Raw genomic sequence first — 27379 nt, forward strand, 5'->3', positions numbered from 1 at the left:
AGGAGGCTTATGAGATTGTCTGGCAGAAAAGATATGGGTGGAAATAGCTTTACTGGGGTCAGGAGTGGAGACATGGGAAATAGCTTTTAATGTGGGATGTCAGAAACACAGCCTCTGGATTTAAGTCCCAGCTCACTCACTCTTTCTTACTAGCTAGGTATCCATTAGGCAAGTTAATTATCTTCTCTGCTCATCAGCTTTTCTATCTGTAGAATGGGAAGTCATATTTTATCTTAGTCTGTTCAGGCTGCCATAACAAAATACCATGGAGTGGGTGACTTATAAACAACAGAAATTTATTTCTCACAGTTCTGGAGGATGGGAAGTCCAAGATCAAGGTGCCAGTAGACTTGGTATCTGGTGAGGGCTTGTTTCCTGATTTATACACAGTGCCTTTGTGCTGGTTCCCCACCTGGAAAAGACAAACAAGCTCCCTCAGGTCTTTTTTATAAGTGCACTAATCTTATTCATGAGGGATCTGCCTTAGGACCTAATTGCCTCCCAAAAGGCCTCACCTCCTAACACCATCACCTTGGGGTTAGGATTTCTACATATGAATTTAGAGGGGACACAAACATTCACACCATAGCACACCTCATAGGGTTTTTTGAGGTTTAAATAATCTTTTTAATGCATCTAGCATTGTACCTGATGATTACGATATCAACTAATTTTAGCTATTGTAATTATTTCTCTTAATCTCACTGTTTTAGTTGTCAATCACAAAGTATGACCAGTCAACTTTTAGTTGTTACATTATTTCACCTTTCCTTTAAGCAACTAATAAACAGTGGTGTAACATTCAGGGACAAGCCTGATTTGTAACATTTGAGCTTTATCTGCAGTGTAAATATTCCTGAAGTGGTAGGTTTAATGACTGGCTCTCATAATTCCCAAATATTTAATAAATCAGCTCTCACAGGATGGTGCAAGCTAGCTCCAGATGGCTCTGGAACTACCATCTTATTTCCTCTGCCAAGGTTTTCCCATATCAAACATTCATGACCAATAATGGCCACATAATTTCCTGGCCCTCATTAAAATAAAATTTAAAATATGAGTCCCTTGTTCAAAAATTACTAAGAATTTTAAGATGGTGACCGCAGAGCATTAAACCAAATTCGGGACCCCTGTGAGCCTGGGACCTATGCAACAGCACAGCTCGTACACCTGTGAAGCTGACCTTCTTCATGACTTTGCTAATGTCATGACTACCTTCACACCACTTCATGACTACCTTCACACCACTTCATGACTACCTTCACACCACTACATTTTTTAAGGGCTATAGGCCATGGGTAGTTCTAAGGGATTCAACTTCCATATCTCAATGTCCACTTTTCTAAAACTGATTTGTCAGGGAAGGCCCCCACGGTAGAAGTCATCCTTTCCCACCTTCCCTTTCATGAACATTTTTTGGCTCATTTCAAAACAATCTTACCTCTTACCTATCCAGCATCTAATCATGCTGTATAACCCAAAACTGTTAAAATAAAGAGATAGTCAGACAGTTATTTTAACCAGGGTGCCGTAAGTATACAATAGAGTCAACTCATTAAAAGTTGTATTTCTAAAGAATATTTGCTTTTGTTTGTTTTATTAAATTTTTAAAGTTATTAAATTATTTGTATTGTTTTGATTTAACTGCAATAATGCCTATAATGATAATCCAATATAAAAGGTCTTTTTTAAAAAAACACTTAACGCCTTTTATTCATAGGAACAAAATACACATAATGTTGCAGAGAAATACAATAGGGTGATCAACAGAAAACTTTCAAGCATAAAAGTATATGACATTAAGATAAAGTTATTAGAGAAAAGAAAAGAGATACAAGTTCTAGGAGAGAAAAGAATGATGTAAAATATTTGACTGATATAGAAGAACCTATTTATGCATTTTTAAATGGGTCATGATTCCATTGGATTATATGCCTCTGGTTTCATCAAAATGAGTGATACATCAGTTTCTGCTAATTGTCAATACATATAAAAGGCTAGTAACTATTTAAATGCTAGAATTGTTTGATGTTTCCAATTCAGTTAATGGGGATACAAATAAAATGTTGAAGACTGATGCTCAAATTGAAAAACTCTGATCCAAGAGATGTAAAGGGAATTTGCTGCAATAAAAAGAAGCTGATAAGCAGGACATCTACCAACAGTACATCAACAACACAAATTAAAGTGACCTTTATTCAGCACAAGAAGATCACATTTAACAAAGTTCAAGAGGTGAAGAAGGGCCAAAAGGCATCAGTACCTTCCAATGAATGGTAACCCCAGTCGCTACAGAATTTCCAGGTATCCAGCAGTTGGCATCCTTCATCTCATGTTTCTCCATGAAAGATTGCCCTTATTTAAAGTTTCCAACACTTCAGTCTTTAGCCTATCACCTTAATAAATTTTTCACTGTGTACTGCTAATTTACTTCATGTTTTCTCAAAAATAACACATTTATAAAATTTTAGATTTACACCGAGGAATTATATCCTTAAAATAACACATTTGATGTGCTTATACATCTAATAATACTAAAATACTCAAACTTGAAAAAATAAAAGTTCTCACACTGTGCCAATTAAACTCATTTTGTGTTCTCACTGCTGAACCTATCAGAAACCACCATCCTGACTGAGCCTGCTGGTGGGCTAAGCCTTTGATCTTCCAAAAACTGGTGGATATAACTATTTGATTATTTAGGGAGGAGTTAGGCTCTCTCTTCAACCTGAAGGACTTGAGTCTGTCTCCAGGCTAGAGAATGTGTCTGGTTACAGGAATTCCCAACAGTGACCAAGAATGTCATTTTTTCTCTCTCAACAAAGAGGTAAAATGATATCATTCACAAGCTTCATGTAATGCATATTATTTGCCACTGTGCAATGAAAATAGGCAAATGACCTGTTACAAAACTGTTGGAACTCTTATAACCAAACCAGCTGAACTTTAATAACACCAGAATAAGGAATGGAAAAAGCTCCCAAACATTTATTTAGCAATATTTGGGTCTGAGTCAATCAAATAAGAAAATAATTTGCATATAGCCAAAAGTTTGGCTGTGGCTTTAGGCTTTTACAACTCAAAAAGAAAGAAAGAAAAACAGAGAGATAAGCAAGGTAGTAAAGAAATAGGAAATGGGAGATATGCTAGATTTCATGACTCTATGGAAAATTTATTAGAAATTATTAGGTCTAGAAAGTTATTTCTTTACATAGGTATTTTCTTCCTATTTACTACTACACCACCAAATAGCTTGTCCAAAAAATTTGAGACAGTCTATTCAATAAATAAATGTGTAGATAGATAGATAGATATTAATAAGACACAGATAAGTAAATAAATCTTGGAAAGGGGAAATAAGGGTAATGAAAATAAAACCAGGATTTAATTCAGTATATTTAATACATCTCATCAAGTGCTTCACACTTGCTAGAAATAGGCTATGACTTTGGCTTCAGAAGCCTAGCAGCCAATACAGAAAAGAAACCTCAGTCGGGGAAAATGTATCAATCCCATGGAGGAACTTGCAGTTAGAAAAGACTATATTTGAATCCCAGTTCTAACCAGCTGTGCGGCCTTGAGTGCAAGTCATTGAACATTCTAAGTCTCAGTTTCCTCTTCTATATAATGGGAATGATAATACCTGACTCTCAGAGCTGTCAACTATACAAGTCAACTCTCCAGCAGAACACCTTACATTCAGCAAATGTTTAATATGAGTCATCAGTTAAACAGTTCACACTATCAATAGAATAAAAATTAAACCAGTTGCTGGGGACCAGCTAGCAAATAGCTAACCGACTAGTACCAGCAGCAATCCAATGAGACTCAAGTAAGGAGAGGAAAAAGATCCTACACACTTTAGCAATGCTGGAGGTTTGAATCAGTTACTGTAAACAGTAAAATAATTTACACATGGACACAAATTCGGCAGTGATTTTAGGCTTCAACATGCAGCATATGGGCTTGGTTGTGTGCATGCATGTGTGTGTGCCCACGTGTACGTGTTATACTATTGTTTTTAATTTAGTAGTCCCTTGACTAAATTCTCTCTTCACAGATTTGCCCAGGCAGCTTCAACACTGACCTTCCTTTTTCTATTTTCTTTTCCTTTTTTGCTTTTTTTTGTTGTTGTTGTTGTTGGTTTGTTGTTGTTTTTTTTTGTTTGTTTTTGTTTTTTTTGAGACAGAATGTCTCTCTGTCACCCAGGCTGGAGTGCAGTGGTGTGATCTCGGCTCACTGCAACCTCAGCCTTCGGGGCTCACTCAATTCTCCCGCGTCAGCCTCCCCAGCAGCTGGGATTACAGGCGCCCTCCACCATGCCTGGCTAATTTTTGTATTTTTAGTAGAGACGGGGTTTCATCCTGTTGGCCAGGCTGGTCTTGAACTCCTGAGTTCAAGTGATCCGCCCACATCAGCCTCCCAAAGTGCTAGGATTACAGGTGTGAGCCACAGCCTGAACCACAGCGCCCAGCCTTCCTTTTTCTTTCTTCTTTTTTTTTTTTTTACAAGTAAACTGGGCTTCCTGGCTCTGCATTCCTCTCTCCCACCTTCTCATCCATCAATGGAGGCTGTGAACTTTCTCTAGCAGAAAAGGCAAGTGGGTCCATTGGACAAGACTAACATAATTTTAATGAGTCAACCAGTGAGAAGTGCTGGACTCACTAACCAGGTGGCGGATTTCTCTACTCGATCTCCCAGACTTCATGCACACCAGCCCCTTTTGGCCCAGTCACATCTTTCAGCTCCAGATGTACTGGGATCCCAGTCAGCAGGCTCATGCCTCTCATTCTACCTCTGAAATCCTCAATTGCTGAGCCATGATGATTTTTCCACACCTCACCCCAGGGTGTGTCAGCACACAAAGCCAGAGAGTTTGAAATCTTTTGAGCTCATTAAAATAGATGTGCAACTGGGGTCTACTAACCCTGCTCTCCAGTGTCCACAACTCTGGCTCCCCACACCCTACTGTCCCCTAAACTCACAGCACAACTAGATCCCATTAATAAGGGCACACTAGCTGTCCCTAAAGGTCTGGAAACAATAAGGTCATGCTCATTCCCACTTGAGCCTGGTTTGACCTGCAGTGGAGCCATAGCCCATGCAGCCTCCCACCTTAGCACTCCCTGGAGGCCATAAAAGACACCAATTAGAGCCAAATCACACTTTCCCATAGGGGCCAACGTTTTCATATTTCTCAGGAAACGTATTATTTTTATCCAAAACTGATATGAAATACTCCAAAAAAGAAACTTTTAAATGTATGATCAGAAAAGTAGAAGTAGAAAACAACTAAATGTCCTTTACTAGGAAACATAGTACTCCTTGGGAAAGAGACAGATTTGATGGGGGAGGGAATCTCTGGAGCTCAGATAACAGCAGCATGGAAGGAATATATTTTTATTATCAGAGAAGTTAGAAAACAGTAGGGGAAACCCAGTTAGCCAAACTTGACAAAAAAGCACATCACATCAGTCAACAGCAAGATTTGAATGCCTGCCAAGCATGGCTCGTGATTAGACAGGGAAAACAGCATCTGGCTTAAGACCTTGAGTTTTGGTGTCAAGTTGATTTGGGGATCATGTTCTGGGTTCTTACTGACGGTTGTTAACCTGGCTCTCCCACCTACTAGCTGCAGGACTTGGGATAAGTAACTCAGTAACTTAAACCTTAGTCTCTTCTTCTGTAAAGTGGGGCTAATCATATCTCTTCCATAAAACTGCTGTGAGTTTAAATAACTTATTAATGTGCAGAGACAAGGGTTGGCCAACAAATATTTACAAGTGCCTGTTACGATCTAGACAGTTGTATAAGAAATAGTTACTGCTCTCAAACAGCGCATAGTCTAAAGAAGAAGAAAAGGGCAAATGCCTACTTATAATATAATGCAATACCTGTTCTAACTGAGGTTGGACAGACTGCTTTGGGAGCACAGAACAAAGGACATTTTCCTAGTGGAGTCAGACGCAGATGCCGGTTGTCTGATCCCAGCGCCCCCTGTTTTCAGCATCATGTCCTACTGAAGGAGTCCTTGAGCACCAAAGGGCCTGATGATCAGTCTGGCTCCCCACCTTGCATTCAGTGTGAAAAGATTCCAAACACAACTGGCCACCTTAGGCCACCCTGTTGGACCCACTGAAACCAGTCATATCTGTATCTATGCTCTTTTCAAAGACTATCATAAAACAGATCCTCTCTCAAAGGACTTCAGCCACTTTTATTTTCTTGAGGGCCTTTGAGTCCACTCCACATCAGAGTCCTTCAGCTGCACAGCAATTCTTCCATCAGAAGCTTCCCGTAAGGACAGAAATGTCAAAATCAATTTTCTTGAAAAGAAACAAAAGTGACTTTTTTTCCCCAAATTGTCTTTGTGGTAAAATTTATGAGAGTAGAAACATATCCCAAGGGGCGCAATGGAAGGCTCATTTGAAGGATTATTTTAATCTGAACTGGAGAAAGCCCTGGAGAAATCAGTACCAAAAACTCTACTGATCCCCAAGGGACAGACTAGATGTCTGAATGTTTCCGCATTTCTAACAGCTACCGTTCTTTTGTAAAGTGCTTGTTGTATCTCACAACTAGTGGGTTGGCAAGGTGTTTTAACAGGAAAACTGAAATAGCTGGAGTCACGGACAGACGCTGGCACAACATATTGCAGAGAGCTCCGTGATGGGAGAGGCATGCCCAGGTGCCAGGGATTCTTGGAGAGGCCCAGAGCCCCATTTAGCTGTCTGGAGCTACAAGGAATGCTAAAATCTTACTGAACCATATCTGAGAGCATGGCCCACTTTAACTCAGATCACTACACAGAGCTCATTACAGAGTGGTCAAAATGTGATCTGCACCCTTTTCCACAAAAGAAGACAAAGTTCTGAAGTAAAAATTAGAAAACACTCTCCCTCATTCTGTCACTACCCCCACTAAATAAGAGTTGAACAGGATTTAAAGGTTGTCAGCTTAGCCAGGCACAGTGGCAAGTACCCATAGTCCTAGCTACTCCAGAGGCTGAGGCAAGAGGATGGCTTAAGTGCAGGAGTTCAAGTCCAGCCTGGGCAACATAGCAAGACCCATCTCCAAAAAAACAGAAAGAAAGAAAGAAATTGTTGGCTGGGCACAGTGACTCATGCCTGTAATCCCAGCACTTTGAGAGGCCGAGGCAGGTGGAATGCTTAAGCTCAGGGGTTTGACAGCAACCTGGGCAACATGGCAAAACCCCATCTATACAGAAAATACAAAAATTAGCCAGACATGGTGGCACACGTCTGTGGTCCCAGGTATTCAAGAGACTGAGGTGGGAGGATCACTTGATCCAGGGAGGCAGAGGTTGCAGAAACCCGAGATGGCACCACTGATGTCCAGCTTGGGCAACAGAGCAAGACCCTGTGTTTAAAAACAGAAAAAGATTTTCGGCTTAAGAGATGCCAAATCCCTATCCTTCTCCTGGCCCCCATCCCCTGCAGGCAACTGTTACTGAGTCTCGGCAAATAGAGCGCTATAGGAATAGCTCAGGCAAACCATCAGGGCTGATCAACAGGAGCAATCACAGCAGTGGGCAGAGCCCAGCAATGGGAAAGCAGGGTCCACTACAGCAGAAGCCCTGGCAAGCAGGCCAGTAGCATCTGGGAAGGCAATCAGGGCTCAGGTTTAAGGACATCCACAAGGACACCATGAGACAAGTGCCAGTCAGAAGGGCACTGGCAGTAGTGGCTGCAGAATTTCAATGTAGGAAGAACTTACAGGGAGCATTTTGGTTGGAAAAGAACTAGAGAAGCTGTATTTGCATAATACTCTACACAAGACTGAGAAAATGTCGATTATCCGTGTCAAAAAATAGGGATACCATGGATAGTTGAGAGGAGAGCTAAAGCCTGCAGGACCAAGAAGTTTCCTGGATTCAGAATTCTCTGAGGTCATCCCCAAGCAGAATGGTGCATTCAGAAACCAGAACACACTGCACGGGGCAGGCTCTGGCTGGAGAATTCAGCTGCAGGTGCTCTGTCCCAGCAGACAGGAGGCAGGGGGACAAGGAGGGCTTGTTGCCATCCCCAGTGCAATGCAGCAGCTCAAGCATTAGCAGAGGGACTTGCATCCTTGGTTAGCAAGCAGATCCATGAGGATGTCTGGAAGTAAGGAGGGACTTGATAGGTCTGCTTAATTGCTTCCTGCCTCAAGCCCAGATTGGTCTGGGAAAGAGGCTGGGCCCAGGCTGCAGGTGGGAGATTGCGTGGCCAGCTGTGATGAACTGGAGAGGCTGAGTAAGGGGAAATAGAAAGGGAGGTGGGGGTGGGGAGAACATGCTGAAATAGATCCCTGAATGTCCTGGGGCCGGAGCCGGGTCACTCAATGTGGGGGAGGAACTTCCTTCCCTCTTTCGTTATTTTCCTTCCTCTCTCTTCCTCCTCACAGGCAACCAGCTAGAGGCAGGATGAGCTGTCTCAAGGAAGAAGAAATCAAAACAGCCTTTAAATTACTGGAGGTCATGTCCTGTTTGAAACAACAACAAGAAAAGAGAGCAGAGTGCTACCTCTCCTGCAGAGACCTTGCTGCCATGATCTCTAGCCAAAGAGGTTACATTAGTTCCATCTTCATAGCCCAGGGACTGAGGCTTGAACCCACAAGTCTCTCTTTCTCACTCCTTTAAAGAAACTGCTAACCACTTCCAGGTCAACTGCTGAAAGTCATGTGTTTCTTTTACTGCAGACATTTCTGCAAAGCCTTCCCCTGAGAGCCGAGCACGGATGCAATAGTCCAAGAGGTGGTGGCTGGCGCTCTTTCATCCTTGACCCATGATCTAGAACATTTGGCTTAGAGCATAAAGAGGAGATTCCCAGCACAATAAAATAGCCAGGGAGGGAACATTATTATAGGTCCCCTTTTCAACTCAAATAGGTTAGGATTGACTGACAACCTAAGAAATACTCACCACTTTTTCATTTTCAGATCAAACATAACTGTCTTCAGAGTATAAATCCTCTGAAGCCTGCCCTTCTTCCATCCAGTCCCTTGGGTGGCAGGTATTAAATGACTACTCCATGTTCTCCATAGGGAGGCAGGATGCCTTGGCAGCAGAGCACACTGTTGTCAGTACTCAGAAGCGTCTGGAAGCCACCCTCATCTTAAAATAAAAGAATCAAGATTGAGCTTGGAAAGACAAAATGTAAAATCAGTGCCTGGAAAAATAGGCCAAGTCACCTTAAGAGTCAGAATAGTTCCATGAATATATCAATCATTTGCAGTGTTGAGTGGGGACGTAGCACAGCTGGTCAACCAGCCACAAGACTATGGTAATGACCATCCAGCACATCAAGGAGAAAGGGCGACTGCACTGAGCACTTGGCTGCTGTGGTTCCAACAGAATGTAGACCTATGAGGCGATAGGTGCATCCAGCTGATTATAGTTCAAGGGCATAAAACATGCAGATTTTTTAACTTACCAAGCAACCACTAATGATAATTGGGACCTCCTGTAGGCCCCCAGAGGGAGAGTGCACCAGCTAAGAGCCAAGAGCCAAGAGCACTGCTTGAGTTTCTTCAGTGGTTCTGGATCTTAAAAATGGGCTTGGTTGCTCAGTTTACAAATGAGTTCGGTTACTATAAGTCTGCCCTTCTGAGACTGAACCTGCTGAGAGAACAAATGAATAAAATTAAGCTTCTGAGCCGCAAGATTGAGGGTTTGACTCTGAGCCATGGAAAGTCCCTCTAGGCAATGCCTCTGTATAAGCAGCTGGAGAGATAGCCTACAAATCTTTCCTGAGCTCTGAACCTCTGAACCACCCTGCCATTGCTCTTTGGTGAAATCTGCTCCTACTCTTTCTGACATAAACTAACACAAATGAAACCAGCTCTTTGAATTGGGGGAAAAAACTTCCATACTTCAGAAAATAATATAAAACAATAAGTAACTGCTAAATTGCAGGGTTCGTGGGGAGGAAAGCAGGAGCAGCTGAGAAAGGGTTGATGGAAGCAGTGGGCTTGAGTGGGCCTTGTAGGTCTACATGGGTGGACAACTGATCCAGCACACTCCAGATAGGGATGGAACAGGGAGACCCAGAAAGAAGGTGAGACGACTTCACAGAGACAGTTCAGGTTTTGATGTGCTGGAACATGACACTGGAGATTAAAGGACTGAGCAGATCTTTCAGTGTCTGAAATGCCAGCCTTTTGCAAGTTCATGGAGCAGAAATGGGTCTCAGAACACTGACCCGGTAATAGTGCATGGGCTGCTCAGACAGGAGAGGGACTAGAAGGGGGAGAACCACTAATAATCAATGCAGGTGGGTGACGAAAAGGACTATTGCATTTATATTAAATTTCCTGAGGCCTGTCAAATTCTTCTCTCATTATACTTCCAGTATAGGTTCTTGGAATAGTGAGGGGAATATATTCAGTGTGAGAAATACAGCTATAGGGGTTGGGGACATTGATGCTAGGTCCAGGGAGCATTAAACAGTAAAACAGTGTTGCTGTTATGCAAATAATCACCAACCTTGCACTCTTGCATGAGAGCTCAGCTTGTCCAGAAAATGAAGTTTTATCTTTAGATTTGCAGAATGGAGATTTCTGTAATGTTTTTAAAGGCAATCCCACGGAGTTATCTGGCTTCCCTAGAATCACAAGAAAAGGACTGTCACTGGTAAAGTGGACTCTTCTGCACACTTTATTTTATTCCTAAATGGGCCAGTCAAGTCTAGGGTTGAGGTGGCCTTAGAAACTTTTCAGGGTCAGCATTCAGGCATCAACAAAGCAGTTCTGATTTAGAGAACTCTTGAGATAAGAACCAGCTACATTCATGATTTCCCAAACTTGGCCAATTTAGAGTAAATACATGCAAACAGTCTTGTAATTGTGATTCCAAATTTTCTGATTATGCCAGGAATAAAAATCTGCAGAATTTCAAAGACTTACCATTTCTGACAATTTCGAAGTAACATGAGACCTTTTTCAACTTCAACTAACTTTGGAGAACCATTGTCAGACACTTCGGCATTTAGGTAAACAATGCCAGTTCACCTCTAAGTAAAACAGTGACCTATTTTTAGAGACCAAGGGTTTCAGTGTTTTACCATTCCGGAAATAAACATCATCATCATCATTCCTTCTATTTCAATGAGCACAGCTGTCTGGGTGGGGATGTAAACATCCCCTGGCCATGTTGTGAATCCAAACACAACAATGTCAGGCTGGTGTGTGAGAACCAGGAAATGAAGCTGACTACAAATTGCACAAGCTCCCATCTATTCTCATTATCTCATCTAAATGAAGCAAGACCTACAAGATAGACAACATGCTTAGGTCTCTTTTCAAAGTTAGCCCTTTTCACTGCTGCTTGTTAAATGTCCATTTTTAAAAGAAAACAATTATTAAAAGAAAGAAGTTACCCCTTTAACTAATTCATGCTTCTATTGGAAGTGCAAAAATCCTGATGGAACTCTATATTAATCATATTTTTTTTGAGACAGAGTCTTGCTCTGTTGCCCAGGCTGGAGTACACTGGTGCAATCTTGGCTCACTGCAACCTCCACCTCCTGGGTTCAACAATTCTCCTGCCTCAGCCTCTCAAGTAGCTGGGATTACAGGCATGCACCACCAGGCCCAGCTAATTTTTGTATTTTTAGTAGAGACGGGGTTTTGCCATGTTGGCCAGGCTGGTCTTGAACTCCTGGCCTCAAGCGATCTGCCCACCTCAGCCTCCAAAAGTGATAGGATTACAAGCGTGAGCCACTGTGCCTGGCCAATATTTTTTCTTTTCTATATTTTATAGTATTTTCACATCTTGGAGGGCCCAGCTGGTCAGGGAGAGACTGCCCTTCCATGACCAAGTTATTTCCAAGATAATAAACTAGCCTTACTATACACCCTTCATATGCAAACAGTGTCCTGAGTCCATACCCTACAGCCACCTCCTTTATTTACCCAACTACCACCTCCTTGACCTCACATGTCAAGTCAATATTCCCCCTGCCCAAAATCCACCAAAAGCCAGGTACCAGACAACTAAGGACAGCCTCATTCCTAACACCCACTGAAAGTATCGGAAGCAGCCAATCCTAAACTGTTGCTCCCAGCTGCCCTGCCTTTCCTACAGAAAACACAATAGAGGCTCTGGCTTGTGCTTCACCCTCACTCCTCTCTGTCTGCTGACCAACACCCTGTGTCTGAGTCCACTTGGACTACGTGACAAAAATACCATAGGCTGGGTGGCGTAAACAACAAACACTTATTTCTGACAGTTCTGGAGACTGGGAAGTTCAAGGTCATGGTGCAGATCTACTGTCTGGTGAGGACCCATTCCCTAGTTTGCAGATGGATATCTTCTTGCTGTATCTTCACACAGTAGAGAGAGAGAGAAAAAGAGAAAAGAAGCAAGCTCTCTCTTGTCTCTTGTTATAAGGGCACTAAACCCATCATAAGGGCTCTACTCTCAGGACGAAATTATCCCCCAAAGGCCAAATACCTTTCCAAATACCTTCACCTTGGAGATCAGAGTTTCACCATATGAATTTGGGGGAAGACACAAACATTCAGTCCATAGCATCATGTGGTTCTGCATGGTATGGTGTGCCGCTTCCTTGTACCCCTTCTTTAGGAAATGTAAGTAATGAAAATCTTTCAATGGTATTAGCCTCTGATGAGTATCATCACTCAATCACCTCTATGATAAATTTAAATCCCGCAGATACAACCACTGATACAAACTCCCATTCACTGGTGCTTCTGAACATGATGCTAAATATAAATGTGCAGTCTCTGTTCTCTCCATGTCCATCTTCCAGTGAGCCTGGACCGGGCTTTGAACAGTTAGGTTAACATGACATCTGACAGGGGAAAAAGGATTTTCTCAGCTATACCAGGGTGTCAGAAAAGGTTTATCTCACAAGGAACCAGTATAATTATGCCTGCCTTTCCTTTTATGCTAAGAAAAAGAGGGAGGTTCCTGACATACAGTAGAGCTCTCCTAACTTCTCACAGCCAGGATGTAGGCCCAGGCCCTCCTTACCCCCTGCCTGGGCCACTATGGTGGCCTCTGAACTGGCCTCCCTGACCCTCACATAGGGATAATCATCGATGATCTGCAGGCCAAGTCCAGTCCACAAATGTCTCTCATTTGGCCATCTTAGTATGGATTATTTGTTTGTTTGTTTTATAGGAAGCTAACTTTATTGATGGAAATGTTATGTGTTCCAACAAAAAGTTCCCACAACCTGGACCCTGTAATCTCCTGCAGAACAAACATAAAAAGTTTAAGGTACATTGGACAACACCACCCAAAAAATAAAAGAGGAAAAAGAATCCTTTGCTTCTCTGCTATGGAAAGAGATAGTGAGACCAGATGTCCAACACCAGATGCCTTCTGCCCTGGACCAAAAGGAAGGGGAGGCCAGAGGAGAGAGGCAGGGGTGAAGGGATTACTTGAATGAAGAGCAGGGTATTACCATAGTCCCTGATATGGCTTGGATCTGTGTCCCCCGCCCCACCAAATCTCATGTCAAATTGTAATCCAATGTTGAAGGCGGGGCCTGGTGGGAGGTGATTGGATCATGGGAACAGATTTCCCTTTTTGGTGCTGTTCTTGTGATAGAATTCTCACAAGATCTGATTGTTTAAAAAGTGTGTGGCACCTCCCCCCTCACTCTCTTCCTCCTGCTCTGGCCATGTAAAACATGGCTGCTTCCAGAAGCCTTTGCCTTCCACCATCATTGTAAGTTTCCTGAGGCCTCCTGAGAAGCAGAAGCCTGTGCAGCTTGCACAACCATGAGTCGATTAAACCTATTTTCTTTATAAATTACCCAGTTTCAGGTATTTCTTTATAGCAGTGAGAGAATGGACTAATACAGTCCCAAACTGCAAAAATGCTGAAGGCTATGCCTAAGGGGGTTATTTTTTCTAATTTGAGATAACAATTTTAAGAGAATTTTCTGAATCACACCACTCCCTCACACTGTATAGTTTAATAATGGTACCTTAAAATTACAATTATACAGTGTGCTAATATAAAACTACTCCTAATATTCATCTTCTGCTGTTCAAAGAAATCAAGCATCAGTCATTCCTTATAAGCAATGTAATGTTATGGTTCTTATCACTTTGTCTAACTGAAATCCTAATGCACAAAAGACAGCTAAAGCCAAATTAAAGAAAGAAAAGGAGAATTGGCAATGAATTGGAGGGAGGCATAGGAATCAATCACAACTCATGACAACACTTAATTACTTCCCACGAATTGTACCTTATATAACATCATTATGTTTAAACTCATTTCAACCACCATTTAACAATCAAGAGATTTCACATGAAAATCTAGGTTTCCAGCTTCTTTCAAAATTTGAAATTTTTGGTGACAGTGGCCTGTTTTCCTACATGGCAGCCACCAGCTAGAGCTGAGGCAAGGGTGCCTCCCAGCTAGGGCATAACTTCTCCAGCCTCCCATGAGCCCCCCAACTCCAGCTTGGTTCAGGACACTGAGGGCAAATGTAAGCAGCCTTTTAAACTTGTGCTTGCTCAGTTGATTAACTTGTAATCTGGGCATTTTTTCTACCCTCAATCATATCATGCAATGGTGAAAAACAAAGGGCTCTGGAGCCAGACACTGCCTGGGTTCAAACCTTGGGCCACCATTCTGATCACAGGTTTGACCTCAGCCAGCTTCACTCACCTCCCTGTGCCTCAAAACACCATTGTTAAAGGACAGTACAAAGCTTGTGGAGTGATTGTGAGGAAAAAAGATTTAGAAGCACTTAGAAGAGTGTCTGGCACAAAGTAAGGGTACAATTAGTGTCAGCTTTTAAAATCCATGTCTTTATTCAAAACTAAGGGTGAGGGGATGGATTGAGAGGGCCATGCGTTTCAAGAAAATGGAGACAGAGAGAATTTTTCTTTGTAGAATAAACAACATTCACTCCCACACGTTTAATAAGCAAACCACCAGCCAGCTTCAGTCAGTCACTGCCTGTCTGGAAGCTCCAGGCAAGCCTATATGATAGAATACAGCTCCAGGCTCTCCCATCCCTGGTCTAACATGGGAATGCCTTTCCGTTAATTTTTCTAGAACAAAGTTCCACTTCTTTCCCTCAAAACCTTTAATGGAACCAGCCTCCTTAGCATCAAGGTATTTTATAATAAGCATGTACTTTATACCTCCTACATTCTTACCAAATAAACTACCAAATACCTCCCCAGAGGAACCTCTTAACATCTCCCCAGAGGAACCACCAAACCTCCCCCAAACAACCACCAAACACCTCCCTAGAGGAACCACCAAACCTCCCCAAGGAACCACCTCCCCAGAGGAACCACCCAACCTCCCCCAAGGAACCACCAAACACCTCCCCAGAGGAACCACCAAACACCTCTCTAGAGGAACCACCAGGCACCTCTCCAGAGGAACCACCAAACCTCCCCAAGGAACCACCAAACACTTCCTCAGAGAAACCACCAAACACCTCCAAGAGGATCCACTAAACATCCCCAGGGAACCACCAAAACCTCTCCAGAGGAACCACCAGACACTTCTCCAGAGGAACCACCAAATACCTCTCCAGAGAAACCACCAGACACCTCTCCAGAGGACCCACCAAACCTCCCCAAGGAACCACCAAACCATTCCCCAGAAGAACCACCCAACACTTCCAAGAGGACCCACTAACCCTCCCCAAGGAACCACAAAAAACCTCCCCAGAGGAACCACCAAACATCTCCCAGAGGAACCACCACACACCTTTCCTGAGGAACCACCAAACACCTCTCCAGAGAAACCACCAAACACCTCTCCAGAAGAACCACCAAACACCTCCCCAGAGGAACCACCAAACCTCTCCAGAGAAACTACCAAACACTCACCCAAGGAGCCACCAAACACTTCCCCAGAGGAACCACAAAACACTTTTCCAGAGGAACCATCACACACCACCCCAGAAGAACCATCAAATATCTCCCACACCTACAGCACTCACTGCTACCTCTGGACCTAGTACCTGCTATTATTTCTTGGCATGCCCTTCCTGCCCCATGCACAGCTTTGTCATATCCAATCCATCATTTGAGGTTTAGCACAAATGACAATTCTTATGAAAACTTAATCTCTACAGTTGAAAATAAGCTCTCCCTTGAAATTCCCCTAATGTATTAGGTCATTCTTGCATTGCTATGAGACTGGGTAATTTATAAGAAAAGAGGTTTAATTGGCTCACAGTTCTGCAGACTGTACAGGAAGCATGGTGCTGGCATCTGCTTCTGGGGAGGCCTCAGGAAGCTTGCAATCATGGCAGAAGGTGAAGGGGGGACCAGCATCTCATATGGTACAGTGGGAGCCAGATCTTGTGAGAACTCACTATCAGAAAGACAGCACTAAGCCATGAGGGATCCACCCCCATGACCCAAACATCTCCCACCAGGCCCCACTTCCAGCATTGGGGATTACAATTGAATATGAGATTTGGACAAGGACAAATATGCAAACTATATCATTCTGCCCCTGATTCTTAGCAAATCTTATATCCTTCTCTCATTGCAAAATGCAATTAACTGTTGGCCTTCCCAACAGTTGCCCAAAGTCTTAACTCATTATAACATTAACTCAAAAGTCCAAAGTCTCATCTGAGACACGACAAGTTTCTTCAACCTGCGACCCTTAAAATCAAAAACAAGTTAGTTATTTCCAAGATATGATGGAGGTACAGGCATTGGGTAAATATTCCTGTTTCAAAAGGGAGAAATCAGCCAGAAGACAGGGGTTACAGGTCCCATGAAAAGTTCAAAATCAGCAAGGTAGTCATTACATCTTAAAACTCCAAAATAATCTCCTCTGACTCCATATGCTGCATCCAATGTACACTGGTGCAAGGATGGGTTCCCAGGGCCTTGGGCCACACCACCCATTTGGCTTTGCAGGGTGCAGCCCCCACAGCTGCTCTCACGTGTTGGAGTTGAGTGCCTGTGGCTTTTCCAGGCACAGCCAGCAAGCTGCCAGTGAATCTACCATTCTGGGGTTTGGAAGACTGTGGCCCCATTCCCACAGCTCCACTAGGCAATGCCCCAGTGGAGACCCTGTGTGTGGACTCCAACCCCATATATCCCCTCAGCACTGCCCTAGCAGAAGTTCTCTGTGAGGGCTCTGACCCTGCGGCAGGCTTCTGCCTGGACATCCAGGCTTTCTCACACATCCTCTGAAATCTAGGTGGAGGCTGACAACCCTTCACTCTTGTGCTCTATGCAACAACAGGTTTAACACCATGTGGAAGCTGCCAAACCGTATGGCTTGTGTCCTCCAAAGTAGCAGCTCAAGCTGTACCTGGGCCCCTTTGAGCCCCAGCTGGAGCTGGAGTGGCTGGGGTGTGGGAGTCAGTGTCCCAAGGCTGCACAGGGCAATGGATCACTGGGCATGGCCCATAAACCCATTCTTCCCTCCCAGGCCTCTGGAACTACAATGGGAGGGACTGCTGAGAAGATCTCTGAAACACCTTCAAGGCCTTTAGGGACATTGTCTTGGATATTAACATTTGGCTCCCTTTTATTTATGCACATTTCTAGCAAGTGGTTGCTCCTTAACCTGCTTAAATTCCTCTCCTGAAGAAGCTTTTTTTTTCTCTGTCACATGCCCAAGCTGCAAATTTTTCAAACTTTTATGTTCTGCATCCCTTTGAGTATAAATCCCAAATTTAAGTCATTTCTTTGCTCCCACATTTGAGCATAGACTGTTAGAAGCAGCCTGGTCACATCTTGAATGCTTTGATGCTTAGAACTTTCTTCTGCCAGATACCCTAAATCATCACCCTTTAGTTCAAACTTCCATAGATCCTTAGGGCATGGACACAATGCAGCCATGCTCTTTGCTAAGACATAACATGTGTGGCCTTTGCTCCAGTTCCCAATAAGTTCCTCATTTCCATCGGAGACCTTGGCAGCCTGGACTTCACTGTCCATACCACTATCAGCATTTTGGTCACAGTCATTTAACCAGTCTCTAAGAAGTTCCAAACTTTCCTTCATCTTCGTGTCTTCTTCTGAGCCCTCCAAACTTTTCCAGCCTCTGCCCATTACTCAGTTCCAAAGCTGCTTCCACATTTTCAGATATCTTTATGGCAATGTCCCACTCTTTGGTACCAATTTTCTGTGTTAGGCCATTCTTGCCCTGCTATAAAGAAGTGTCTGAAAATGGGTAATTTATAAGAAAAGAGGCTTAATTGGCTTATGGTTCTGCAAGCTGCACAGGAAGCATGGTACTGGCATCTACTTCTGAAGAGGCCTCAGGAAGCTTACATTAATGGGAGAAGTAGAAGAGGGAGCCAGGATTTCATATGGTAGAGCAAGAGCAAGAGAGAAAGTGGGTGGTGCAGGAGGTGCCACACACTTTTAAACAAACAGATCTCATGAGAACTGCCTGGGTTATGATATCATAACTGATATCATGAACTATCATATCATGATATCATATGATATGGGAGGCATCCCACTTGGGAGGCCAAGGTGCACGGATCACCTGAACTCAGGAGTTCAAGACAAGCCGGGGCAACATGGCAAAACCCCATCTTTACAAAAAAAATACAAAAATACAAAATTTAGCCAGGCACCATGGCATGTGCCTGTAGTCCCAGCTACTCAGGAGGCTGAAGTAGGAGGATGGCTTGAGCCTGGGAGATGGAGGTTGCAGTAAGCCAAGATCACAGTCACTGCACTCTAGCCTGGGAGACAGAGTGAAACTCTCTCTCAAAAAAAAAAAAATCAACATGAGATTTGGGCAAGGACAAATAGCCAAACTATATCACCTAGCATCTTCTCTTATAGCACATCACACTTTCTTCATTGAATTACAGTTTTGTGTATATGTGTCTTCTTTTTTCAGTAAACTGTAAAATTCTTAAGAAGATTAATTTTTTTAATTTCCCTATGTATTAATCATAGTAAAATGCAGTCAACCTAGATAAATTAAGAGAACAGAGAAAAATATCATTTTTCTTTCCTTTTTAAAATATCTTTTCAAGATATATTCTGGGTTTTGGTAAAACACAGAATCAGGTTAACAGTTAGAGACAGCGTCTCCCAACTTCCCAGAAAAGTAGTGGGAGATGAGTCATGGGGGTGGAGGTGAAGAAGCCAGTGGAGGGTAGGGAAGAAAGGAAAGCATTGCATATTGAAGATGGGGGCCACATGCAAGTGACCACCAGAATTGGGAGGCATTTTCAAGGACTTCAAGACCAGTGGAACTGGATGTAGAAACATGTTCCCTGGCCCACAAATGCAAAGCAACTTAAAACAGAGTAAACCTGCCCATCTGAAAGAAGGTAGGAAGATTTCAATCCCTCCTGCTCTCTAACATCAGGTCATAAATGCAAGTTATGAGAAAATAGCACTGCCATTATGAGATGTCTTTTAAAGAGAATACTATGTACACCTCCATACTAGATAATTTTGAAGTCTCTATAAAATGAGTGTTTGTCTAGGAAAATTTAATTACTGATATTGACACAGGAAAAGTAACAACATAAAAAGAATGGAAAAATGACTGTGGAATAAATTAAGAAAGCTGTCCATAAAATAACGCCATCCTCTAAAAAGCAAGTGCAATGCAAATATAGCAAAAAGTTGAGATTTTAAAGATTATGAATTTTCCCCTCTTGTGCTGATTAGTATTTCCTAATCTTTCTAGGACTGCTTTTGTAATAATATAAAAGTAAATACTATTATTAATTTTAAGGTTCTTAAATACAAAATAAAATGATATGAGATACCATTTTGTCCATTAGAATGGCAGAATAGATCTTTTTACTACCAATAATTCTTCTTTTTTTTTCTTGAGACAGAGTCTCGCTCTGTCACCAGGCTGGAGTGCAGTGGTGCGATCTCGGCTCACCGTAACCTCCGCCTCCTGGGTTCAGGCGATTCTCCTTGCCTCAGCCTCCCGAGTAGCTGGGACTACAGGCATGCGCCACCACACCCAGCTAATTTTTGTATTTTTAGTAGAGACAGGGTTTCACCATGTTGGCCAGGATGGTCTCGATCCCTTGACCTCGTGATCCACCCACCTCAGCCTCCCAAAGTGCTGGGATTACAGGCGTGAGCCACCGCACCCGGCCTACTACCAATAATTCTTATACCTAATATAAAGTCTTACTATATATCCAATAATGTGCTAAGTGATTTATCATTGCCTCATTTAGTCCTGTCAACTCATTTACAGCTGAGAAACTGAGGTTCACAATTAAATAATTTGCTTCAGGTTCTACAGCTAGAAAATGGTAGAGGCCAGCCCACCCAAACCTCTCAGGTTCCATTGCTTCAGCTGTGACCATTAGGTATACTGTCTCCTGTCCTGCAGATGGTGCTAGGAGACATTATCACATGCAGTGGCTGGAAGAGTAAACTAGTATAATCTTTTTAGAAAGCAATTGTGCAAGACACGTCACGGGCTTTAAAAATGTTCACATTATTTGCAAATAATATCTCTAAGAATATATGCTGAGAAAATAACCTGAGATGTACTCCAAAATGTACGAACAGGATGTTCACAGCATCATTATACATTATAGTGAGAAAGGTGAAAAAAAAAGTCAAAGAAGGGAAATGGTTAAATAAATTACACTGTTTCTATTTAAAATGGCTTTCAATGACATGGCAAAATCTTACATAAAATAAGTATGATATGAAAGTATATTTCATATGGCCGGGGGAAGTGGCTCATGCCTGTAATTCAAGCACTTTGGGAGGCCAAGGTGGGTGGATCGCTTGAGGTCAGGAGTTTGAGACTAGCCTGGGCAACTTGTCGTGAAACCCCACCTCTATTAAAAATACAAAAATTAGCTGGGTGTCATGGCACACACCCTGTAGTCCCAGCTACTCGGGAGGCTGAGGAATGAAAATCACTTGAGACCAGGAGGCAGAGGTTGCAGTGAGCTGAGATCACACCATTGCACTCCAGCCTGGGTGACAAAGCGAGACTCCATCTCAAAAAAAAAAAAAAGAAAAGAAAAGTATATTTCATATAAATCTGTTTTATAAAAATATAAAAACCTGTTTACAATGCATGCATAGTAAAAGCACTGGGAGAAATAAACACAGTTGTTAGTTGTTATTTATTGTGTGATGAGATTACAGATCTTTTAAAAAATTGCTTCAATGTTTTTCATATTTATTATGATGAACACATTATTTTCATCATCTTAAAAAATACATTTTCTTATACATGATTCATTCTACAAAAGCCTGATTTCTACTCAACTTTCTAGATTGCACCTGTTGCATCAAAACACCTTTATTTATTTTAGTTTAGTTTAGTTTAGTTTAGTTTAGCTTATTTATTTGTTTTGAGTTGGAATCTCACTCTGTCACCCAGGCTGGAGTGCAGTGGTGTGATCTGGGCTCACTGTAACCTCTGCCTCCCAGGTTCAAGCGATTCTCCTGCCTCAGCCTCCCAAGTAGCTGGGATTACAGGAGATTCACCACGCCCGGCTAATTTTTTGTAAAACTTTGAAAACAGGGTTTCACCATGTTGGCCAGAAAAACACCTTTATTTAAAAGGAGTGTTTTCACATTTTTAGCTTAATTCCTAGAACATATAAGTAAATTTTAAAATGTTCCGTATGAACAATATTAATGTTAGTAATGTAACATAATAATTTTAATTCGCATAGGGCCCAAACAGTTAAAATGTAATTAGTATTAGAAATAATATTAGAAATTGTTTTATTTGCAGCAAACATCTGTTTATCTTGAATCCAACCCACTGGAAAACTAAGATAAACATAATTATTCCATGCTGCACAATTGAAGGGTAATTACTGTTCATAATGAGGACTCTAAGGCATTGCAAGACCCCAAAATGCCTTCTAAGCCACCAAAGAAAGATTGCATTCCATTTAGCATAGCTTCCTTGTTAAGACTGTTTTATTGTGCTGAATTCTCTGGAAATTGGCTAACCTACATTTGGCAGGTATAGTTAGTTTCAGTATGCTAAAATTGTCTATTAATCAGGATGCTTTATTTCCCGATGCTTTTGAGTTAACTATATAGTTATCAGAATTGTTCAGAAAATCGGGGGGTATAAAACGCCTCTAGGCTTCCTTGCTCTGAGCTTACCCTTTCGATGTGGGGGCTGGGAGTTACAGAACAGAATTCATGAGACTGGTAAGAAGAGAAAGAAATCCTGCAAGGCTGGGAGCGATGGAGCACGCCTATAATCCCAGCAGGGAGGGAAGTGGAGGCGGGCAGATCATTGAGCCCAGGAGTTCGAGACCAGCCTGGGCAATGTGGCAAAACTCCATCTCTACTAAAAACACACACAAAAAAAGAAATCAGCTGGACCCGGTGGCGCGCACCTGTAGTCCCAGCTACTCGGGAAGCTGAGGTGGGAGGATCACTTGAGCACATGATGCAGAGGTTGCAGTGAGCCGAAATCGCACCACTGCACTCCAGCCTGGGCGACAGAGTGGGACCCTGTCTCAAAAAAAAGAAAAGAAATCTGGCAGACTGCCCAAGAGTACCTGAGAATGGCCCAGTCTACAGATAAGTCAGCTTAGGTCTTTCCATGAGCGAAGAATATGAAGGGAAACCAGCACCCCCGCTGCTGAAGACAGGTTGGAAGTCAGAAGAATGTTGGCAAGCCCTAAGTGCAGCGGCAGTCCTGCTGTGGGAACTGCAGGATGCTCTCTGCAGAGGACAATGGCAGCAGGAACTATTCTTCAGGGCTCCCTGGTGGAAATGCAAGGCACCCTCACCCTGAGAAATGAAAAACAGGACCACAGAGGTTTCAGGTTTCAGGTCAGCACCCTGTGCAAGGATCACTCACGTTGCCCTTCTTAAGAGTTGCTTTGGGTTTCCTGAAATTACATGGTTGCTACTTGGGAGGTGATTCGGAGGAAAGAGTTGAGCTGACCAACACACAGAGAAGTTGCCAGCAGGTGGGTGTTCACCTCTGTCTGGAGTCCAAGAGCCACAAGGGAAAAAGGCAAGGTAGTCAGCATTGCAACTGGCTTGTGCATTTCTAGATCTACCCATGGGCAGACCATGACTGAGCTGTTAGGCCAGTACTTATCCTGGGAGATAACTGTTGAACTAAGAAATCTGAGGCTAAATATATCCACTTGTGCTGTGCCGTCCACTATAGGAGCCACTAGCCACATGTGGCTATTCAAATTTAAATTAATTAAAATAAAAACTCAGTTCCTCAGTTACTCCAGCAACATTTCAAGTGCTCCATAGCCACATGTGGCTAGTGGCTACATATCAGACAGTGCAAATATGGAACATTTCCATCATTGCAGGAAGCTTTATTGAACTTATATTGAAGTCAACATTGATATACGATACAGTGGAATACCAGAGCCTCATGAATTTTAAGATAAGAGACAAAACTCAAAGAACTTTGTGCTTATACCTGGCTGCTTTGAGCCAAGTGTACCTCAAAGTGTACCAGTTTATCCTCCTCTTGCTGGGAGTGCCTCAGCAGGAAAGTTCAAGAAGCATTACACTTATGGGGCAGCACCCAGACCATGGTAGCAGGCATCTCCCTTATACACTGCTTATCACTTTCATGAACCAGAGAAGTAAGATTTTGAGATAAAGACTATTCTCGTGGGTTCCTTCTTTTTTATATAATTTTATTTTTTGTTTTTTATTTTTATGGGTACATTTTAGGTGTATATATTTGTGGGGCATATGAGATATTCTGACACAGGCATACAATGCATAATGATCACATCAGGATAAATATGGTATCCATCACCTCAAATATTTATTATTTGTTTGTGTTATAAACATTCCAGTTATACTTTTAGTTATTTTTAAATGTACAATAAGTTATTGTTGACCATAGTCACCCTGTGGTGCTATCAAATACTAGATTTTATTCATTCTGTCCAACTATATTTTTATATCCATTAGCCATTTCTACCATCCCCACCCCTTTCCACCCTTCCCTGCCTCTGGTAACCTTCCTTCTAACTCTCTGTCTCAATGAGTTCAATTGTTTTCATGCTTAGGTCCCACAAATGAGTGAGAACATGCAAAGTTTGTCTTTCTGTGCCTGTTATTTCACTAACATAATGTCCTCCAGTTCCATCCATGTTGTTACAAATGACAGGATCTCATTCTTTTTCATGGCTGAATAGCGCTCCATTGTCTATATGTACCACATTTTCTTTATCCATTCGTCTGTTGATGGACACTTAGGTTGTTTCCTAATCTTGGCTATTGTGAACAGTGCTGCAACAAACATGGGAGTGCGGAATACCTCAACATAGGGATTTCATTTCCTTTGGATAAATATCCAGGAGTGGAATTGCTGGTTGGGCTCCTTCTGTTTCTAAGCAGCTTCTTGCCCACAGGTAATACTTAACTACTCTCAGAAGGAGAAGAGTAAATGAAATTTTTTTTCTACCCCAGGTCTTCAAGACCCATTTGTCTCAAATCCCCCCATTCTTTGGCTGGGCCAAACCAAAAGGCCTCTAGAGAATCATAGGCAGCCTTACCCAGTTTCCCCCAGCTTGAAGCTATGTCAGCTCTGCTCAGAAAGGGGCAAATGTTTGTGACTCAAAGGGCTCTTTCCAGAGTAATTTTAGCATTTATTAGTCATTGTGTGCTCTAGAATACAAGAGTGTCTCTAAGGACCTCCTGCTTCCTGCGGCCGCTGCTTTAACCTCCACCCCACCTTGGTGAGGTTCATGCCGCTTGAGAAGAATGCTCTCTAGCCCAACAATTGACTCTATCTCAAGCACAATAAGTTGATCTTTTAAAAAAAATAGGGCTGAAAGTCAAACCTTGTACAATAATTCAGACATTTTATAGTGTTGTTCTGATTACATACAATTCCCACAAGAAGGGAAGTACCTTTAAAATAAGGACTATTCAATACTAGTACAGGATTTCCTCTTGTTGTTGATAATTTCCTCCCAACAGAAGACACAACGCAGTCCAAAGCAAATTCAAAGGAGTTATCCAGAGACAACGCGGCATCTACGTTCTGCAGGGAACATTGTTCAATCTAATTGATGTTTTCCTTGCAAAGCAATAGAGTGAGTAGGACTATTTTTATCCAGAACAGAATAGGTTCCCCCTAAACTTTTGATTCCCCCACCCCCAATGGTCAGAATCACAGCTTGTGCCTTTCCAAAGTCAATGTTTCCGTGAAATAAGTCATAAACAATAGGACAACTTAAATGCCAAACTATGTTCTCACTCAGCAGGCAAACCTTCACCAGCTATCACGTTTTGAATTGTGGAAATTCTGGAGCAACATTACATTTTCAATAGATTCTATCTTATCAGCAGGGATGGTACATAGAAAAGAATTCTCAGCCTTCATGAAGTTAAAATTAGTTCCTCTTTGCTAGAACAGTGATGCAATATTCACTAATCAGTATAAGTTACCTGTACAGGCTGATGACTTTTAGTTATATATGACTGAGTTCTCCAAGCAGACAATAAACCTTGACTCTTATATATACAACGGCAGTTAATCAGTAAGCACGTTTTGGCAGAACATTTTTTCAATTTCCTCCTTTCAGTCAGAGAGGCACAATTCAACCTTCACAATTTGGCCTGCCTTTCTAGAAATAAACTAAGGTTACCCTTGGTCCAATTGCTTAAACATACCCAATGAAGAAGGTGGTTTCTACTTCAGATTGAATTGGGCAAAAGCTATGATTATGGAAAATAAAAATGCCTAGAAGGGAGAAATTGTAAAAAATTCATAATAGGAAACATCTAAGAGCTCAGCTATCACATGGATTTTTTAGAATGTTAACATGAGAACTCCTTAAAGTGGAAGGATAGCCCAGAGCTTCCACCAGTCAGCATATGCCAGAGCTCAGTTATAGGCATTCAATAAATGTTTTTGAACGAGTAGATGTGTGATCACATTAGCTTTTATAGTAATATTAAATATTTTCCAGGTCATACCAGCAGTCTGGTGGTGAAAATAAATTCGCAATAAGCGGAACAAAACACTATTTCTTTGGCTTCATTTGTTCCCACTACCATGTAAACAGCAGTTAAGAAGGTGGGCTCAAGATTGAGACATACAGGTTAGAATTCCAGCCCCAGTACTTACTAGGTGTGTGCTAGTTCTAGGCAACTTACTTGCCTTCTCTGGTTTCCTCATCTGTAGACCAGCTACAATAACAGAACCTACCTCATTGTTCAGGGAAGGTTAAAGGAGATGAGGGATACAGCGAGCTAACTTAATGCCTGGCCCATGGCAATCATACACTGTTATGAATGATTACATTATGATATGGTATAGATTATTCAACTATCATCATCACGATGTTGTTGTGCCAGTTGTGGTAGTTACTCTCAAGCCCGATTTTTCTGGGTCAGTTTCTTTTAGTGTCCCAGGGACAGCTCACATGTTCCTCTAGCCTCAAGATGATGTTTTTCTCCTCTCCTGCTCAGCAGCTGCTACCAAGCTGCTTGTGTCACCTCAAAGCTGCAGAGACCACAGGGGTGTCTTGTCCTCCCTGAATCCTTTCCAGATCCTCTGTGCTCAGAAGACTCCATTCTCGGGGTCTAGGCTGTTCCAATCTCCACCCAGCTTTGAGAGTGACCTGTGGAGAAAATACCTTTCCTCTCAGATCACATTAGGTTGTGGTTCAGCCTGGGGTTCGCAGCACCATATGGTCCTAGTAAAATGCCTTTTAAATTTTCTGGGCCTTCTTTGTTGAAGGCCCTGGCATGCGTCCTTGGGGACTGAGCTGGAAGAGAATCTAAACAACAGACACTGGTTGTATTCTAAACAACGCCTCGTTTTCCAAGGCTGCTTGTCCTTGTTTTTCTCAGTTCCCTCTCCTCTTGAGTACTTTCCGGAAGGTGCCTGAGTCCTTTCCATAAATCGGCTACTTCCCCTGCCTGCATGCTTGGGCAGAGCCAGCTGGGGTTATCTGACTGAGGGCTCTTGTCCCCACCCGACCCTGCAGCAGAAATGAAGAGCGATTCCTCAAGCCGGAAATTTTGGGTTAAAATATTATTAAAATACTATGTGATAAAATGCCAGAGAGCTAGCCCAGATCCCTGCACAAGAATTAGAGGGTTTTAGCAGGTGAAAGATCCAAGCCTCCAACATTACTACCTTTATCCAAGGGGACCTCTCACCCAAATTCACCCGAGTTCCCCAAGTAACATTTCTTCAATCTTCTCATTCCCCAACTTTTTGTCCCAGGGTAGCTTGTCAGATGGGACTTCCAGCCTTGGATACACACTGTTCATATGTCATTATAATTCCTGCACCTTAAGAACTGAAGGGATTTATTTTTCAGTAAGAAAAAGCTTTTTGTGGAAGTTTGAACAAAGCCCACTCAGGATAGATCCAGGTTTTCTAGCCCTTGAAATTGATACAATTTGGGGGTCCACATAAAGTGCAGAAAAATAATTTTTTTCTTGTTTTTTTTTTTTT

At 42.3% G+C, this 27379-nt stretch overlaps 2 long non-coding RNA genes across 3 annotated transcripts, besides 2 other annotated features; both read right to left on the bottom strand.

Moving 5' to 3' along the window:
- Positions 1-275: 275 nt before the first annotated feature.
- LOC124901965 (uncharacterized) lies at positions 276-9110 on the bottom strand. Its single transcript, XR_007060975.1, has 2 exons — positions 8924-9110; positions 276-412 (listed from the first exon to the last, which is right to left on the bottom strand). It is a non-coding gene; the product is annotated as an uncharacterized LOC124901965 (long non-coding RNA).
- Positions 8015-9214: an enhancer, noted in NCBI's record as "CDK7 strongly-dependent group 2 enhancer chr8:80635352-80636551 (GRCh37/hg19 assembly coordinates)". NCBI's record gives its function as "activates an origin of replication core promoter dependent on BRD2, BRD4, P300/CBP, MED14 and CDK7 cofactors, with strong dependence on CDK7, by STARR-seq in HCT116 cells {active_cell/tissue: HCT116}" and the evidence as "EXISTENCE:reporter gene assay evidence [ECO:0000049][PMID:35650434]".
- LOC107986893 (uncharacterized) lies at positions 9249-10991 on the bottom strand. 2 transcript variants are annotated; one of them, XR_001745722.1, is made up of 3 exons: positions 10906-10991; positions 10487-10604; positions 9249-9619 (listed from the first exon to the last, which is right to left on the bottom strand). It is a non-coding gene; the product is annotated as an uncharacterized LOC107986893 (long non-coding RNA). The 2 variants fall into 2 exon arrangements; XR_001745721.1 differs by having other exon boundaries at positions 9249-9622.
- Positions 22838-23017: an enhancer, noted in NCBI's record as "active region_27548". NCBI's record gives its function as "activates an Ori minimal core promoter by ATAC-STARR-seq in GM12878 lymphoblastoid cells {active_cell/tissue: GM12878}" and the evidence as "EXISTENCE:reporter gene assay evidence [ECO:0000049][PMID:35858748]".

Source organism: Homo sapiens, chromosome 8, assembly GCF_000001405.40.
Source record: "Homo sapiens chromosome 8, GRCh38.p14 Primary Assembly".
Lineage (NCBI taxonomy): Eukaryota > Metazoa > Chordata > Mammalia > Primates > Hominidae > Homo > Homo sapiens.